At 40.9% G+C, this 16,728-nt stretch overlaps 1 protein-coding gene and 1 pseudogene across 15 annotated transcripts in view, besides 2 other annotated features; one reads left to right on the forward strand and one right to left on the reverse strand.

Moving 5' to 3' along the window:
* Window positions 1-16,728, reverse strand: part of SIK3 (SIK family kinase 3) — a 255,027-nt gene that overhangs the window by 164,887 nt on the left and 73,412 nt on the right. The window lies entirely within an intron of this gene.
* Window positions 2,551-3,203: an enhancer, noted in NCBI's record as "H3K27ac hESC enhancer chr11:116881555-116882207 (GRCh37/hg19 assembly coordinates)". NCBI's record gives its function as "activates a minimal SCP1, AML or CMV promoter by ChIP-STARR-seq in naive H9 embryonic stem cells {active_cell/tissue: H9 hESC(naive)}" and the evidence as "EXISTENCE:reporter gene assay evidence [ECO:0000049][PMID:30033119]".
* On the forward strand, window positions 7,609-7,703 carry RNY4P6 (RNY4 pseudogene 6; annotated as a pseudogene).
* Window positions 12,772-12,881: an enhancer, noted in NCBI's record as "active region_5561". NCBI's record gives its function as "activates an Ori minimal core promoter by ATAC-STARR-seq in GM12878 lymphoblastoid cells {active_cell/tissue: GM12878}" and the evidence as "EXISTENCE:reporter gene assay evidence [ECO:0000049][PMID:35858748]".

Below are 16,728 nucleotides of genomic sequence, written 5' to 3' on the forward strand. Positions count from 1 at the left end.
GAACCCCAATAGATGGGTAATATTATTCCATTTCATAGCTGGGGAACCTGTGGCTTGGAAAAATTAAGTAACTTGCTCATTAAGCTAAAATTTGAACCTAGGACTTCCTGACTCCAAACCCTATATACTCTTTCTATTATAACCTTGCAAACTCACAAGTTTGTTAACATAAAGGCAAAAGAGAAAAGTCAAAACTCCTAAACTACAAAAATATCAACTCGAATTCTGCATGGAGAAAAGTCAAACCCTCAATTCAATTAAGGACACAGGGTACTATATGTATATTTGATTAAAAGCTTTCTCTGCAGAAAATGAACTCTGGTTTCTTTTTAAAAATATTAATCTCAAACTCCAGAATTACCTCAAAATCCTTTTGGAAATGGGCTTAATTCTACGCAGTTAAGACAGAAAATAAGGAAGGCATTTGAAAAATGTTTGGTTAAATAATGAATAATCAAATCCAGCACAGAGTTATGGCTTCTGAATCAGAAAACTAAATTGCAAATAGCCTTGCATTTGGTAAAATTACTTTCCTGAAGCCTGTTGTGAGTCTGCAATTCTACCAAAAGTACAGAAACTAACCCAGAAATAAATTATTAAAAATTAGACTAATTAAAATAGGAAAACATAGATAACAGTTGGTGATTTTAAGAAACTATGATGTAGCCAGGTGCGGTGGCTCACACCTCTAATTCCAGCACTTTGGGAGGCCGAGGCAGGTGGATCACCTGAAGTCAGGAGATCAAGACCAGCCTGACCAACATGGCGAAACCCCATCTCTACTAAAAGTACAAAAATCAGCCAGGTGTAGTGGTGTGCGCCTGTAATCCCAGCTACTTGGGGGGCTGAGGCAGGAGATCACTTGAACCCAGGAGGCAGAGGTTGCAGTGAGCGAGATTGTACCACTGCACTCCAGCCTGGGCGACAGAGTGAGACACTGTCTCAAAAAAAAAAAAAAAAAAATCTATGATGCAGGGCCAGGCATGATAGCTCATGCCTGTAATCCCAGCACTTTGGGAGGCCAAGGAGGGAAGATTGCTTGAGCCCAGGAGTTCGAGACCAGCCTGGGCAACAAAGCAAGACCCTGTCTCTACAAAAAATGAAAAACTTAGCCTAAAGTGAGGCACTGGGAATGGTGGCACGCACCTGTGCTCTCAGCTACTCAGGAAGCTGATGCAGGAGTATCACTTGAGCCCAGGAGGTTGAGGCTGCAGTTAGCAATGACAGCACTGCTGCACTCCAGCCTGGGTGACAAAGCAGGTCTCAAAAAAAAAAACAAAAAACAAAACAGAGAAACTCTGACGCAAAAGTCAAGATTTATTGTTTAAAATATAACCAATTCATAAATACCATAAAAGGCACAATTACTTTATAGGCCACCAATCAAAGTACACTATTATTATAGCATTCTCTAATGTATCAAATCAATATAAAACCTTTAAGAGATTCCCTACTTAATGATTAGTGAATCTTTATCACCTTCCTGAAAATTTTCTGAGTCTAAATTTTTAACCAACTAAATATTCAACTACTCCTCAAAAACATTTCTTTCAGATGCTTTGTTTTAATGCTGATAAGGTACTATTCTTGTTTACTGCCCAACTTCTAGATTAACACTTACCAATCCCACAAAACCTTATCAACCTCCAAAGCCTACATTTTGAAGATGCATCTGGAAAAAAATATCTAAAAATTTAAAAATAACACTAACGACAACATCTATTACCAGTTCATCCCCAAAGAAGCTGATTCTGGCTGCATGGAGAAAAGGGTCACATGATCATCAAGGGGACGGTGGGAAGTGGCTTCTTCCTGGGAAGCCCAGTACCCAAAAAGCCTCTCCCAGACAGGCTTCCCCTCTTCCTTATTCACAATGGGCCCTCCTTCATGAAGATGAGAGAGGGAAGGAAAGAAAGGGCAGCAAATTAAGGCTCCAATGCATTCAGAATTTACTCTTTCCCATTCTCCCATTCCAAATACCTATAGCACTTTCAGCATGAGTAATGAAGGTTTTAGAGATTCTTCTCTGCAAAACAATGGGTGGGGTGGGCAGAAAAGTGTGACTTCCCCAGTCCTGGAATAAAAGCTGTGACAGGTATCCCCCATGTGGAGAGCACCGATAAGCCAGGGAGGACTAGGATGCTGTGTTCTCATGGGTATTGGGGGTGACCAGTACAAGGCCTGCTGAGGGTACTCAAATCTGACTTTCCTTTTTTCTGTGCCTAAACCACCTACATCACCAGGGTTGTGTCAGTTTACTGTGGGACTCTTCTCTGCTGGCTTATCAGGCTGTATGGCCACCATGCTCCCAGTCCCTGCCACCATGGCCTTGGTCCTCTTTAATTTTTCCTTTAAGTATTTAAGTGCTATTTCCTGGGGAGGAAGGTCAAAGTAAATAACCCCACTTCATTAAAATGACTGAGTCTTAATTAAAGCGACTCAGTCCACCAAAAAATAATTTTTTAAAGAAAAAAATATATGTAAATAACATATGTATAAATGTACATATACATATACTTTAGATTGAGAAATGTCAGAGACAAAATGTAGGCCAGGCACGGTGGCTCATACCTGTAATCCCAGCACTTTGGAAGGCCGAGGTGGCTGGGTCACTGGAGCTCTGAAGTTCGAGACCAGCCTGGCCAACATGGACAGATCCTGTCTCTCCAAAAGCTACAAAAATCAGCTGGGTGTGATGGCGCATGCCTGTAGTCCCAGCTACTCAGGAGGCTGACGTGGGAGGATCGCTTGAGCATGGGAGGCAGAGGTTGCAGTGAGCCAAGATTGCGCCACTGCACTACAGCCTGGGGGACAGCGTGAGACCCTGTCTCAAACAAAAACGAAAATAATCACCCTCCTCCTGAAAAAAGGAAATTATAAATTTTAAAAGAAGAAAAAAGAGATGAAATCTGCAATCTCCACACTCCTTTTTTTTTCCCCCTGTAAACAGAAGCTGCAAACTTTCTGCATTAAGGATGCTGATGTGCTGCAAATAGATTAGTCAAGCTAAACCACAGCGGAGTGAGAAGGGGTAATAAAAAGAAAGGCAGAAAGGGACTGTCTGAGCACGTACATATGAGTATGAGTGTATTACGATTACATTCTTAATTCCAAGAGATGATTTGGGATGAGTCATTGTTTTGTACCAACAACAGTAAAATTTCTGTCCATTGTTACACATAACAGAGAGTGGATTCTGAGTGGTTATTTTCTACAGAAATTAAACGGAAATTTTTTTTTTTACCCCGAACCAGAAATTCTGTTGAGATTGGTGAGATTTACAAAGAATTCAGTACCATTTATCAGCCATGTGTTAGTACTGAGAGAAGCTGTTTGGGATTTACTGAGGATTCACATAAAAAATTCTGCAAGGTATAGCTGAACAACTACCACAAAATAAGGTTTCTGGCCAGGCATGGTGACTCACGCCTATACTCCCTTGGGAGCTTGGGGAGCTGAGGCAGAAGGACTGCTTGAGACCAGGAGTTCAAGACCAGCCTGGACAACACAGCAAGACCCCATCTTTTAATTTTTTTTAATTAGGCATGGTGGCAGTACCTGTAGTCCCAACGACTGTGGCACTCCAGCCTACGCAATAGAGAGAAAGAGACTCCAACTCTTAAAAAATAAATACATAAAGTTTCCTGCTTGGCGGTCTGGCTATCAATACAAGCCCAATCTGGTTATCCCCTAAACACTTTTTATTTTCAGAAACAGGATCTCACTCTATCACTGACTGGAGTGCAATGACATGATCACAGCTCACTGCAGCCTTCATCTCCCAAGCTCAAGTGATCCTCCCAGCCTCCCAAGTAGCTGGGACTACACGCATGTACCCCCACACCTGGCTAATTATTTTTATTTCTTTGTAGAGGCAGGGTCTCCCTATGTTGCAGGCTGGTCTCGAATTCCCGGACTCAAGCAATTCTCTCATCTCAGCCTTCCAAAGTGTTGGGATTATAGGCATGAGCCACCATGCCCAGTCCTCAAATACTTTTTAGAAAAGTTTTTTTAATGTTTTCAATGATGCCAGGCAGCACCATTATATTGGAGCATAGAGGGCATCCTAAAGCCAATGGCCCCTGCTTGGCTTACAGAAGAACTAGAATCTTCATTACACCATCATACTTGTAACTGTTAACTTTTCCAAAGCTGTATTTGACCTTATGTTTGAAGAAGGCTTTCCATACTTTAACTTCAGACTACTTTTTCATCATCTTCTAATGCTAAACTGATTCATCTTCTGTCCCTAAAAATGACCTGTACTTTGCTATTTCCGTATCCTTGCTTACACTGCTCTGTCCACAATTCCCTCTTTCCCATTTTTCTCCATACATAGAAACAATCCTTCTCACTGCTCAATCCTAGCTCACCCTGGTAGCCTTCCTTCTTTGACTACCTCAGTCAACAAAAGGTTCTCTGTCCATCCTCACAATCTCTATAATAGTAATTGTCCAGATCTCTCAATTGGGCACTTAGGGAAACAAAACAACAAATACTATATTTTCACTGACTCATAATATATTGAAATTCTTAGGGTTTTTTTTTTTGCCATTACTGCTTTTTTTTTTTTTTTTTTTTGAGACAGAGTCTCGCTCTGTTGCCCAGGCTGGAGTGCAGCGGCGTGATCTCGGCTCACTGCAAGCTCTGCCTCCCGGGTTCACACCATTATCCTGCCTCAGCCTCCCGAGTAGCTGGGACTACAAGCGCCCGCCATTTGCCATTACTTTTAATGGCAAAAACCACAATTACTTTTACACTAACCTACAGAAGAGCCCTTAAAAGTTATTAGAATAGTAGGTACCCAACTTTTTAATCACCAAAGATAGTTTCTGTTATTTAATACCTTCCCCCTACTCCTACCACTCTTTGGTTTCTAAGTTAAAGTCAGAAGGCCATGTTATTTAAAACTTTGTATAAGGTCAGGCACAGTGGCTCACGCCTGTAATCCCACCACTTTGGGAGGCCAAAGTGGGCAAATCACCTGAGGTCAGGAGCTCGAGACCAGCCTGGCCAACATGGTGAAACCTCGTCTCCACTAAAAGTACAAAAAATCACCAGGGCATGGTGCCACACGCCTATAATCCTAGATAGGCTGGGACCCACTTGAACCCAGGAGGCAGGGGTTGCAGTGAGCCAAGCCTGTGCCACTGCACTCTAGCCTGGGCGTCAAGAGTGAAACTCCATTTCAAAAAAACATAAAAAAACTTTGTATACCAAACTGGGATTATCAATAAACGAAGTGTATTTTTTTGAAAAACTAAGTTAAAACTTTTATTGTAAATCAAAGCTGTTAAACTCAGTTCTCACACAGAAAGGACACACGACTCCAGTTAAAAGCAAAGATATTTTATTTTTTGGTTAACCTGTGTGGCATCACCATGGCTAAAAATGTATACTTTTAGCTTTAAAAAAAAAATGCTTCCAGTGCTATCTACTCAGACCCCTTATCAATCTGAGGAACCAAAATCAAGAACTACATACTTAAGCCAATCCCTTATTTTACTGATAAAACTGAGACCCAGAGAAGGAAAGGAGATTTCTAAAATCACAAAGGTGGTGTCACAGCCAGGTCCCCAAAAGGACATGGATATAAGTCTCCAGATTCTGAGGGGGGGGGGGGGAGGGTGTGTGTGTGTGTGTGTGTGTGTGTGTGTGTGTGTTTTATTTCTTTTTTTCTTTTCTTTTTTTTTTTTTTTTTTTTTTGAGACAGGATGGTCTTGCTCTGTCACCCAGTCTGGAGTGCAGTGTTGTACTCACGGCTCACTGCAGCCTCAACCTCCTGGGCTCAAGTGATCCTCCCACCTCAGCCTCCCAAAATGCTGGGATTACAGGCATCAGCCACCAGGCCCAGTCCAGTCAGTGTTCTTTCTATTACATCGTGCTGATGCCAAGGGCCTTACTTACACAAACAGAATGTTGATTATTTTAGGGCAGGAACCAAGTCTTACATCTCTTAGTATCTACCACTGACTCTTCTACATAGCTGAAGTCACAATAAATATTTGTTTACTAATTACATATAATCAACTAATACCTAGTTATCTAATAATTTTAGCCCTTAAGAAATCTAAATGTGAAAGGCAAAGCAATAAAACTTTTAGAAGATAATATTAGAGATTATCTTTATGACTTTATGTCATAACTCACAGAAAGCACTAATCATACAGAAAAAAAGATTAAATTTCATTACAACATTAAAATTAAGAATTTATTTATCAAAAGACACAACTAACAGGGAAAAGACAAGCTACAGAGGGGAAAAAAGATATCTGTAACAAGTACAATAAAAAAAAGGGGGGCTCATCTCCAAAATATAGAGGGAACTACCGGCCAGGTATTTCCTCAACAATTTATTAACAAATAAGATTTGTATATATTCAAGGCATACACCATGATGTTTTGATAGATGTATACATTATGCAATGATTACCATAACCTAACCAATTAACATGAAGAACATTCTTTTCATTTTATTTTTTAAATTAAAACGATTTTTAAGTGGGTAGTTCACACCTGGAATCTCTCACTTTAGGAGGCCGAGGCAGGTGAATGGCTTGAGCCTAGGAGTTTGAGACCAGCCTGGGCAACATGGCAAGACCCTGTTTCTACTAAAAATATGAAAATTAGCCGATCACGATAGTGTGCACCTTTAGTCCCAGCTACTCAGGAGGCTGAGGCAGGAGGATCACTTGAGCCCAGGAAGTTGAGGCTGTAGCAAGCTGTGATCACGCCACTGCACTCCAGCCTGGGCAAAAGAGCAAGGCCCTGTCTCCAAAATACACAAAAGTTTTTAATTTAAAAAAAATTTTTTTAAGAACTACCACAAGTCAATAAAAGACAAATAACCCAAAAGAAAAATGTGCAAAAGACTTGAATATCACAGCTAATAAACTCATGAAAAGGTGCTCCTATTGTTAACCAGAGAAATGCAAACTAAAACCACAATGAGATACCACTATATTCCTACTACATTAGGAATTTTTAATTTAATTATTTAAATTTTAAAATTTTAAATTTAGAAGTTGACAACAGCAAGTGTTAGAGAAGATCTGAAGAAATGGGAACTCACCTATACTGCTGGTGAGTACCTTAAACTGCTATAACCACTTTATTTATTTATTTTTATTTTTTATTTTTGGAGACAGAGTCTCGCTCTGTCACCCAGGCTGGAGTACAGTGGCACGATCTTGGCTCACTGCAACCTCCACCTCCTGGGTTCAAGCAATTCTCCTGCCTCAGCCTCTGGAGTAGCTGGGATTACAGACATACAACCCCATGTCCAGCTAATTTTTTTTTTTTTGAGACGTTGTTTCACTCTTATTGCCCAGGCTGGAGTACAATGGCACAATCTCAGCTCACTGCAACCTCCGCCTCCTGGGTTCAAGTGATTCTCCTGCCTCAGCCTCCCAAACTAATTACAGGCATGTGCCACCATGCCCAGCTAATTTTGTACTTTTAGTAGAAACGGGGTTTCACCATGTTGGCCAGGCTGGTCTCGAACTCCTGACCTCAGGTGATCCGCCCACCTCAGCCTCCCAAAGTGCTGGGATTACAAGCGTGAGCCACCGTGCCCAGCCTACAACCACTTTAGAAAAATGTTTGACAGGCTGGTCCTATGGTAGTGGGTTATCAGAACTTATTAACTTTAGTGTCACTAAAGTTGGTATACAACCCCCCATTGCTAAATTTGACTGGCTTTTAAAAAAGAAAAAAGTTGGGCAGTAGCTAATAAACTGAAGATAAAGAAATCCTGGCTAGGCATCATGGTTCACATCTGTAATCCCAACACTTTGGGAGGCCAAGGCAGATAGATCACTTGAGGCCAGGAGTTCAAGGCAAGCCTGGCCAATGTAATGAAACCCCGTCTTTACAAAAAATACAAAAATTAGCCTAGTGTAATGGTGTATGCCTGTAATCCCAGCTACTCAGGAGGCTGAGGCAGGAGAATCGCTCGAACCCAGGAGGCGGCCCTTGCAGTGAGCCGCGATCACGCCACTGCACTCTAGCCTGGGCGACAGAGAGAGACTCTGCGAAAAAAAAAGGAAGGAAGGAAGGAGGGAGGGAGGGAGGGAGGGAAGGAGAGGGAGGGAGAGAGGGAGGGAGGGAAGGAAGGAAGGAAGGAAGGAAGGAAGGAAGGAAGGAAGGAAGGAAGGAATCCCATGACCTATCTATTTTTGGGTATATCCCCAACACAAATATGTGCTGAGATGTGCCAGAATAAACACATAAGAAAGTTCTTGAGCTAAGCACAGTGGTTCATGACTGTAATCCCAGCTAATTGGGAGGCTGAGGCAGCAGGATAATCTGACACCAGGAGTTCAAGACCAGCCTGAGCAAAACAGCAAGACCCTGTCTCCGAAAAAATTGTTTTAATTTAAAAAATAAAATAATGTTCTTTATGTTAATTAGTTAGGTTATGGTAATCACTGCATAATGTATATATCTATCAAGACATCATGGCGTATACCTTGAATATACACAAATTTTGTTAACTGTACGTCAATAAAGCTGGGAGGGTGAGGAAATGTTCTCAGCTGCAAATTCATAGTATCCCCAAACAGGAAAACACCCACAAATGTCCACCAACAATAGAATGAAGAAATAGTGGCATATTCATGCAGTGGAATACTATACAGCAATGAAAAAGAACAAACTACTGCTACACATAATAGAGAAAAATATAAAACAGGATGTAAGAAGCTGATACAACAGAATACATATTGTGTAATGCCAATTATATAACGCTAAAAACTAGGCAAACTATATTGTTTAAAGATGCTTGTTTAGGAAGTAAATCAATAAAGAAAAGCAAAGAATTAGCTGAGTGCAATGGCACGTGCCTATAGTCCCAGCTACTTGGAAGGCTGAGGTGGGAGAATCACTTCAGGCCAGGAGGCCAAGGCTGCAGTAAGCCATAATCATGCCACTGCACTCCAGGGTGACAGAGCAAGATTCTGTCTCTAAAAAAATAATAATAAATAAGAAGAAGAAAAAGAAGTGAATATCAAAAAGTTAGCATGTTGATTGGACACAGCACACAAAAAGCTGGCTCCTAGGCATGCTAAAAATGTTCTATTTCTTGATCTGTGTGTTGTATATAGGAGTATTTATAACAGCTCATTAAGCTGTGTATTTTATTATACACTTTTCAGTATACCTCTTTTCTTTCAAAACAAAAAGGTTTTTGAAAGTGCTAAGCACAGGCCTAGTACATAGTAAACATTCAATAAAACAAATGTTTTTTTAAGGCAAGATACTATCAAATTGGTGTAACACACATTGAAAGAATCAAAGTACCTGTGAGTATGAAGAAGTCACACATGAAGTAAAAGTCATTTACTCCTGATTAGGTCATCATTCTAGTAGAAAAAAAACTGGTTATACAACTCCTTTGCACCTAAAGGAGGTAGGATCTACAAATCCTATAAATGAGAAAGGTCGTATGGATTTCAATTAGCTACTTGGAATTGAACAAATTAATCTCTATAAATCTCAGTTTCCTCATCTGTCTGAGAAAATACCTGTCTAGATAGCTTATCATGAGGTTCAAATTAAACAATATTTGTAAAAACACTTTATGAATGGCAAAGTACCAAATGTATAGCATTATTAATATACTATTACATGACATGATTTTAGATATAAATAAATCGAGCATGAGAGGAAATACCATAGAACATGAAAATACGAACACTTCATATCCTGCTTTTCATTTAGGATTTGGAAAACACGATGTCCCTAAATTGGTATAAAATCTTCGGGGGTAATATGAGAACAGAGGAAACCCCAGATAATGTGAAAATTGAGTAACAGCTTGGGGGGAAACCCGCAGCTGATATCTCAACACAGTTGTCCCTCGGTATACTGGGGGACTGGTTCCAGGAAGGACCCCTGAGTACACCAAATTACACACACACTCAAGTCCTGCAGTCCCCCGAGGAACCTGCATATACAAAAAGTTGGCCCTCTGTACAGACAGGTTTCACATCCTGCAGATACCACTGTTTTGATCAGCATTGGGATGAAAACAAATCCACATATAAGTGGATTGTTTTAAAAAGAAAAAACGCAGCTCAAACCTGTGTTGTGCAGGGGTCAGCTCTACAACAGCATTCACTAATTCTGACCAAATGACAGTTCCAAAAGAGAACTCCACCCTTAAAATACTGTTGACTTCATCCTAAACTGGATTATCTTTGATGGCAGGAACTAATCTAAATCATCTTCATGAGATGCTTTAGGTGTAACACAAATGGAACAGGAAGGAAAGAGCTCCAAACCAGCCTAATTAACTGCAGTCCACAGCAAGTGGGCAAATGTTGCTGGGAAGGAGGCAAGAAGAAGAAATGCTATGGCCAGAACACTCAGAAAATGGCAACTCTAAACAAGACTGAATTATTGTATCATTGTTTTTATTTTATTTTATTTATTTTTTTTTTTTGAAACAGTTTCACTCCGTCACCCAGTCTGGAGTACAGTAGTGCATCTCAACTCACTGAAACCTCCACCTCCTGTGTTCAAGTGATTCTCCTGCCTCAGCCTCCTGAGTAGCTGGAATTACAGGCGCCTGCCACCATGCCCGGCTAATTTTTGTATTTTTAGTAGAGAAGGGGTTTCACCATGCTGGCCAGGCTGGTCTTGAACTCCTGACCTTAGGTGATCCACCCGCCTTGGCCTCCCAAAGTGCTGGGATTACAGGGTGAGCCACTGCACCTGGCTTTTATTGTAACTTTTTTTTTTCCCTTAGAGACAGAGTCTTACTCTGTGGCCCAGGCTGGAGTGCAGTGGCATGATCTCAGCTCACTGCAACCTCCACCTCCCGGGTTCTAGCAATTCTCCTGCCTCAGCCTCCCAAGTAGCTGGGACTACAGGTGCACACCGCCACACCTGGCTAATTTTTCATATTTTAGTGGAGACAAGGTTTCACCGTGTTGCCCAGGCTGGTCTCGAACTCCTGAGCTCAGGCAATCCACCCACCTCAGCCTCCCAAAGTGCCAGGATTACAGGGTGAGCCACCGCACACGGTCTTTATTGTAACTTTATTTTTTTCAATTGTAACATTTTAAAGGAAATGTATATATCACAGAATTTCAGAAAGGGAATGGACACCAATACAAGTACTAATTTTACAAATGAAGAAATGTGAAGCCTCAAGAGTAGAACTGACCTACTGGTTACAGTAAGTAGCTGTTTTATGAGTAAATAATTACTAAGTAAATTTTAAAAGTAAAAGTCTTGTAATAAACAGTCACGGCTCATTAACAAAGCTCCATAAAAACTGAAATCTCCTCATCTCCTGCCAATATTTAAACTTGGCAGTCAACCCCTTCTTTTTTTTTTTTGAGACAGAGTCTCGCTGTTTCCCAGGCTGGGATGCAGTGGCGTGATCTTGACTCACTGCAACCTCTGCCTCCCGGGTTCACGTGATTCTCCTGCCTCAGCCTCCTGAGTAGCTGGGACTACAGGCGCGTGCCACCACGCCCGGCTAATTTTTGTATTTTTTAGTACAGACGGGATTTCACCGTGAATCCAGGAGGCGGAGGTTTCAGTGAGTTTAGATACACCACTGTACTTCAGATTGGTCAACAGAGAGAGACTCCGTTTAAAAAAAAAGAAAAAAAGGAAGAGAAAAGGAAAGCAAATAAAACAGTTTATTGATACTATTGAGCCATAAGGAGCTACACTATTTGTACTTGAAAGATAACAGCCATTCAAAGCTGTACCTTCCCCAAAGAAAAGCCCCACCTCAACCACATCAACTGCTACTAGCTAAATAAAAACATACAACCTTCCAAACCCGGGGTTTGACGAATGAGCCAGATGAAACTACACATTCATTTGCTCGAAAAAGTAAGTGTAACAGCCAACTCAGCCGTTTATCAGAAGGCACAGGCCCTTGAGAAGAGCATCATGGGTCGCGGTGATATTTGTATGTGTATATGTGCATATATATATACACATACATATATCTCCATGGTTCCTGGCTTAAAGCTCCTATATAACCCTTGTAATTTCCTAAGTGACTTTGGTTAAAATACTGTATTCGGCCTCTTGCCACTGGTTCCTGAACAGCTCCAGAGTGATAAAAGCAAAAGACAGTCTTTTGCTATTTATAACAAGCCCCTTTCAACCACACCTGAGCTTATGTTAATGAGATGATTTTTGCAAAGTCCCTAGATAACCACAGGACTGGTGGCCAATTGCCAGGGGAATCAACCCTGTGCTCATACAGTTAGAACTCAAAACCCCACCCTCAACCTCCAGGGAAAGGAGAGGGGCTGAAGGTTGCACTGATAACCAATGGCCAATGACTTAATCAATCATGCTTACCTAATGAAGCCTCCATAAAAACCTAAAAGGGGGCATCCAGGAGAGTGAAGAGGAACACATCCACTTGCTGGGAGGGTGAGGCACCCCAGCTCTACCGGGATGGAAGCTCCTGCGTTCAGTACTCTTCCAGGCTTTGCCCTGGGTATCTCTTCATCTGGCTGTTCACTTGTGTCCTTTAAAACATCCTTTCTAATGAACTGGTCAGTATGTTTCCTGAGTTCTGTGAGCCACTCTAACAATTTCATGGAACCCAATAAGGGGATATTGGGAAACCAGTTTATAGCCAGCAGGTCAGAAGCACAGGTAAAACCACCTGGAGCCTGTGACTGGCACTGAAGACTGGGGACAGACTTGTGGGACTGAGCCCTCAATCTGTGAGATCTGACGCTATCTCCAGGTAGACAGTGTCAGAACTGAACTGAACTGAACTGCATTAGAGGACACCAGCTGGCAGCTGCTGCAGAACTGGTTGACTGCTTGGTGTGTGGGGACACACTCCCACACATTTGGTCACAGAAGTATTTTGTGTTGAGAGTACAGGAGAAACCAATTCTGTTATTCCTATATTCTAGGAGTCATCCACAGTCATTCGAGCAGTTTCTACACGAGAGAAGAAAGTCTACTGCATCGTAGTAAAAAATAAACATTAAACCTTCAGAACTATTTGCACAAAAGAAAAATGGAATCACAGGTCAGGTGGGGAAGGAGTGGTGCTTATCAAAGGTCAGCCACTTAGTACAAATTTGCTAAACTGCCTTGGTCAGAGCACATTGTCAGAACCCCACTCTTTCCACAGAATTTTCCAAACATTAACCCATGTCCGTAGCACGCTGATGAGGTAAATGATGTTTTACAGATAGGGAGGAACAAAAAAGTGAGGGCCTGGCTGAGCCAATATTCTCTCTGCCTTTTAGTTAGCATACAGATCTCTGTTTATTATTCTAGAAAGCTGTTCTCAATTTCACACATAGGGGATTATGTTTTAAGATGTAAAGTCTATATAAGGGCTGCTTTGCTTACCACTATCTTTGTCAACCATTATCAAAAACTCCATTAATTAAGCTAGGCACCATGGTGTGCACCTATAGTCCCAGCTACTCAGGAGGCTGAAGCAGGAGAATCCCCTAGGAACTCGAGTCCTGTCTGGGCAACGTAACAAGACGTCATCTCTAAAAAAACAGAATAAAATAAAATAAATCTGGGCACAGTGGCTCACACCCAACACTTTGGGAGGCCGAGGCAGGAAGATCATTTCAGCCAACGTGTTTGAGACCACCCTGGATAGCACAGTGAGCCTCTGTCTCTACAAAAAAAAAAAAAAAAAAAAAAAAAAAAAAAAACCTAAAAATAACAAAATAACAAATAAAAAATAAAAATAATCCATAAATTAGTTAAGAAACCAGCTTTTGAGCACCTTCTACCTGTAACAACAGGCCTGCCTACAAAGAAAATATTAGTTTTAAGTAAATCCTACTTTATTTTATTCTACCCATTGCTACAGAAACAAAGATCTGATCATTTTGTAGTTGGGTATGTCAAAATCTTTTTATTATACAAGTAAATGTGTCTAGAGATTGACTGGAAAGAGGCACAAGGGAACTATCTGGGATATAGAGATTTTCTCTATTGATTAAGGTGGTGGTTATAATAATTCATCAAATCTCATTAAACTGTATATTTAATATCTATGCATTTCCTGGTATATAAATTTTACCTAAAAAGTTTAAGAGTCAAAGACAATTATTTAATAGTGAAACCCCTGAGTTGGGAAACACAAAGGGTAAACCCCATATAATTAAAAAAAGACAAAAAGCCTAACTGAAAAAACATATTCTTTCCTTTGGTCTACATTTCAACTTCTGTGTACTGATTAATTCTTGAAAAATCAAATACCCATGGGGCTTTCATAACACCACTAAGCAGAAAGGAGAGGGTCTCAGGGCAGAGTGGACACTTTCATCTGCCTGTGAGCATATAAACCACATTCATCAACTAGAGCTGCCCCATCCATCAGCCAAAGCAAAAACAAACTGTCCTTGTGTCAAAACGCAACATAGAAAGTCACCCTGTGATATCTCCTCTGAGACGGGTTAAGAGAAGAAGAAATGAATTGAAATCTCATTTATAACCACACGGCCTAAATTAGTCTCTCATAGTCATCAATGAGATGCTTATCAGATTGTGGAGGGCAAGGGAGGAAATGTGAAGAAGTTAAAAAAAAAAAAAAGGTACAAATGTAAGTAACTAATATTGTAAGTGAAAAACCCACTTCCATCTTACCACACAGGTTTATTTTGTTCAGAAACAAACGCAAAGTGAATACATAACTGGATCTATTTCAAGGGTTAATATAATAAAAATACCTTTACTCTGGAAGCAAAAAGAGTTCCTTCTTGATAGAAATGCCAGGTTTAACCATTGGCAGATTGTAGAAAACACAAATGACAACTAAGATAACTAGTGTGGGCTAAACAATAACATTTTCACTTTTTGAAATAACTCCAAGGCAACTCCAAAGTCAATCATTCTTATTAGCAGTTGTTGAGGCCCAGAAACCGATACCTCAAAATATGGCACTTTGACATGCTGAACTGTACAATCCTCAAGGCCTCTCTGACCATCCCCTCACCACCCCCAAAGCACAGGGAGAAGTTGTTCTCTGAAGTTCCCTTATCTGCCTAAATCTGGACCTGCCAAAGAAGAAAATAGTTATCTCTGTCCCTTCCCCGAGTTTTCATTAACTGAACTAATATTGCAGGAAGAGAGACTGAAGTATGTCAATACACCTGATGATTTTTTTTTTTTTTTTTAGACAGGGACTCACTCTGTCGCTCAAGCTGGAATCACAATCACAGCTCACTGCACCCTTGACCTACTGGGCTCAAGTGATCCTCTAGTCTCAACCTCCCTGGTAGATGGGACTATAGTCATGTGCCACTATGCCCAGCTAATATTCTTAAAAACAAACAAACAAACAAACAAACAAACAAAAAAAAAAAAATATATATATATATATATATATATTGCACACTGCACTATGCCAGTGCTTGGGAGTAACTTTTATCTTTTTTTTGACACAGGGTCTCTCTGTGTCACCCAGGCTGGAGTGCAGTGGCGCAATCTCACCTCACTGCAACCTCCGCCTCTAGGGTTCAAGTGATTCTCCCACTTCAGCCTCTCAAGTAGCTGGGATTACAGATGTGCGCCACCGTGGCATAACTAATTTTTTGTATTTTTAGTAGAGACGGGGTCTTGCTATGTTGGCCAGGCTGGTCTTGAACTCCTGGCCTCAAGTGATTCACCTGCGTTAGCCTCCCAAAGTGCTGGAATTACAGGCATGAGCCACCACACCCGGGCCTGGACAGACTTTTGTCACAAACCACTATCTGCTCTGTAGGCCCAAAAAACTTTGTCCCAGACCACTGTATATTCTCCAAGCCCACTGAATAACTTTAAAAATCATTTACTAGCCCTGTAAAATCATCCATACCTCCCCATCTCCCTTCCTCTAAAAACAAGGGTACATAAGCATCTGTACCCCACTGGGTTGTGGGCAATCTCTCTGTGATTTTCCTCCATACATGTTAATAAAAATGTTTATGCCTTTTCTCCTATTAATCTGACTTTTGTCAGTTGATTTTCAGCTAACCTCAAAGGCGGAAAGGAAAACTCCCCTTTCACTCCTACACAGTCTTTAAAAAAAAAAAAAAAAAGCATTACCAATATTGGCTGCATAAATATACTAATAATAACACATGCTCATTTCTGCCATTGTGCCTCTTTTCCCTAAAGATTACTAAAAATAGCCACCTTAGCAAAGAAGAATAAAGACTATCTTGGAAGATAAACAGGGCTTCAATAATGCCCCATAACTCTAAACTGATGTAAGCCTGCAACAGCTGTAAAGTCATCAGGGATTCATCAGGTAACACCACCAAAGTTAAGGTTGCAATATTTTACAAACTCACAGGCTGAAAAATTCCTTAAAAACCATCTGGCTGGGCATGGTAGCTCACACCTGTAATCCCAGCACTTCGGGAGGCCAAGGCAGTTTGTTTGCTTGAGCTCAGGAGTTCAAGACCAGCCTGGGCAACATGGCAAAACCCCAACTCTACCAAAATATACAAAAATTACCCAGGCGTGGTGGCATGTGCCTGTAGTCCCAGCTACTTAGCAGGCTGAGGTGGGAGGATCACTTGAACCCAGGAAGCGGAGGTTGCAGAGAGCTGAGATCAGCGCCACTGCACTCTAGCCTGAGTGACAGAGTGAGACCCTACCTTAAAAAAAAAAAAATCATCTAATGCAGTAGTTTGCAAGCTTTAAGTAGCTATGGAATTCTACCCCATTCTTTAAAAAACAAAAACAAAACCTCAAAAGTTTATATCAGATGTCTTT

The sequence above is a fragment of the Homo sapiens genome, chromosome 11 (assembly GCF_000001405.40).
Source record: "Homo sapiens chromosome 11, GRCh38.p14 Primary Assembly".
NCBI lineage: Eukaryota > Metazoa > Chordata > Mammalia > Primates > Hominidae > Homo > Homo sapiens.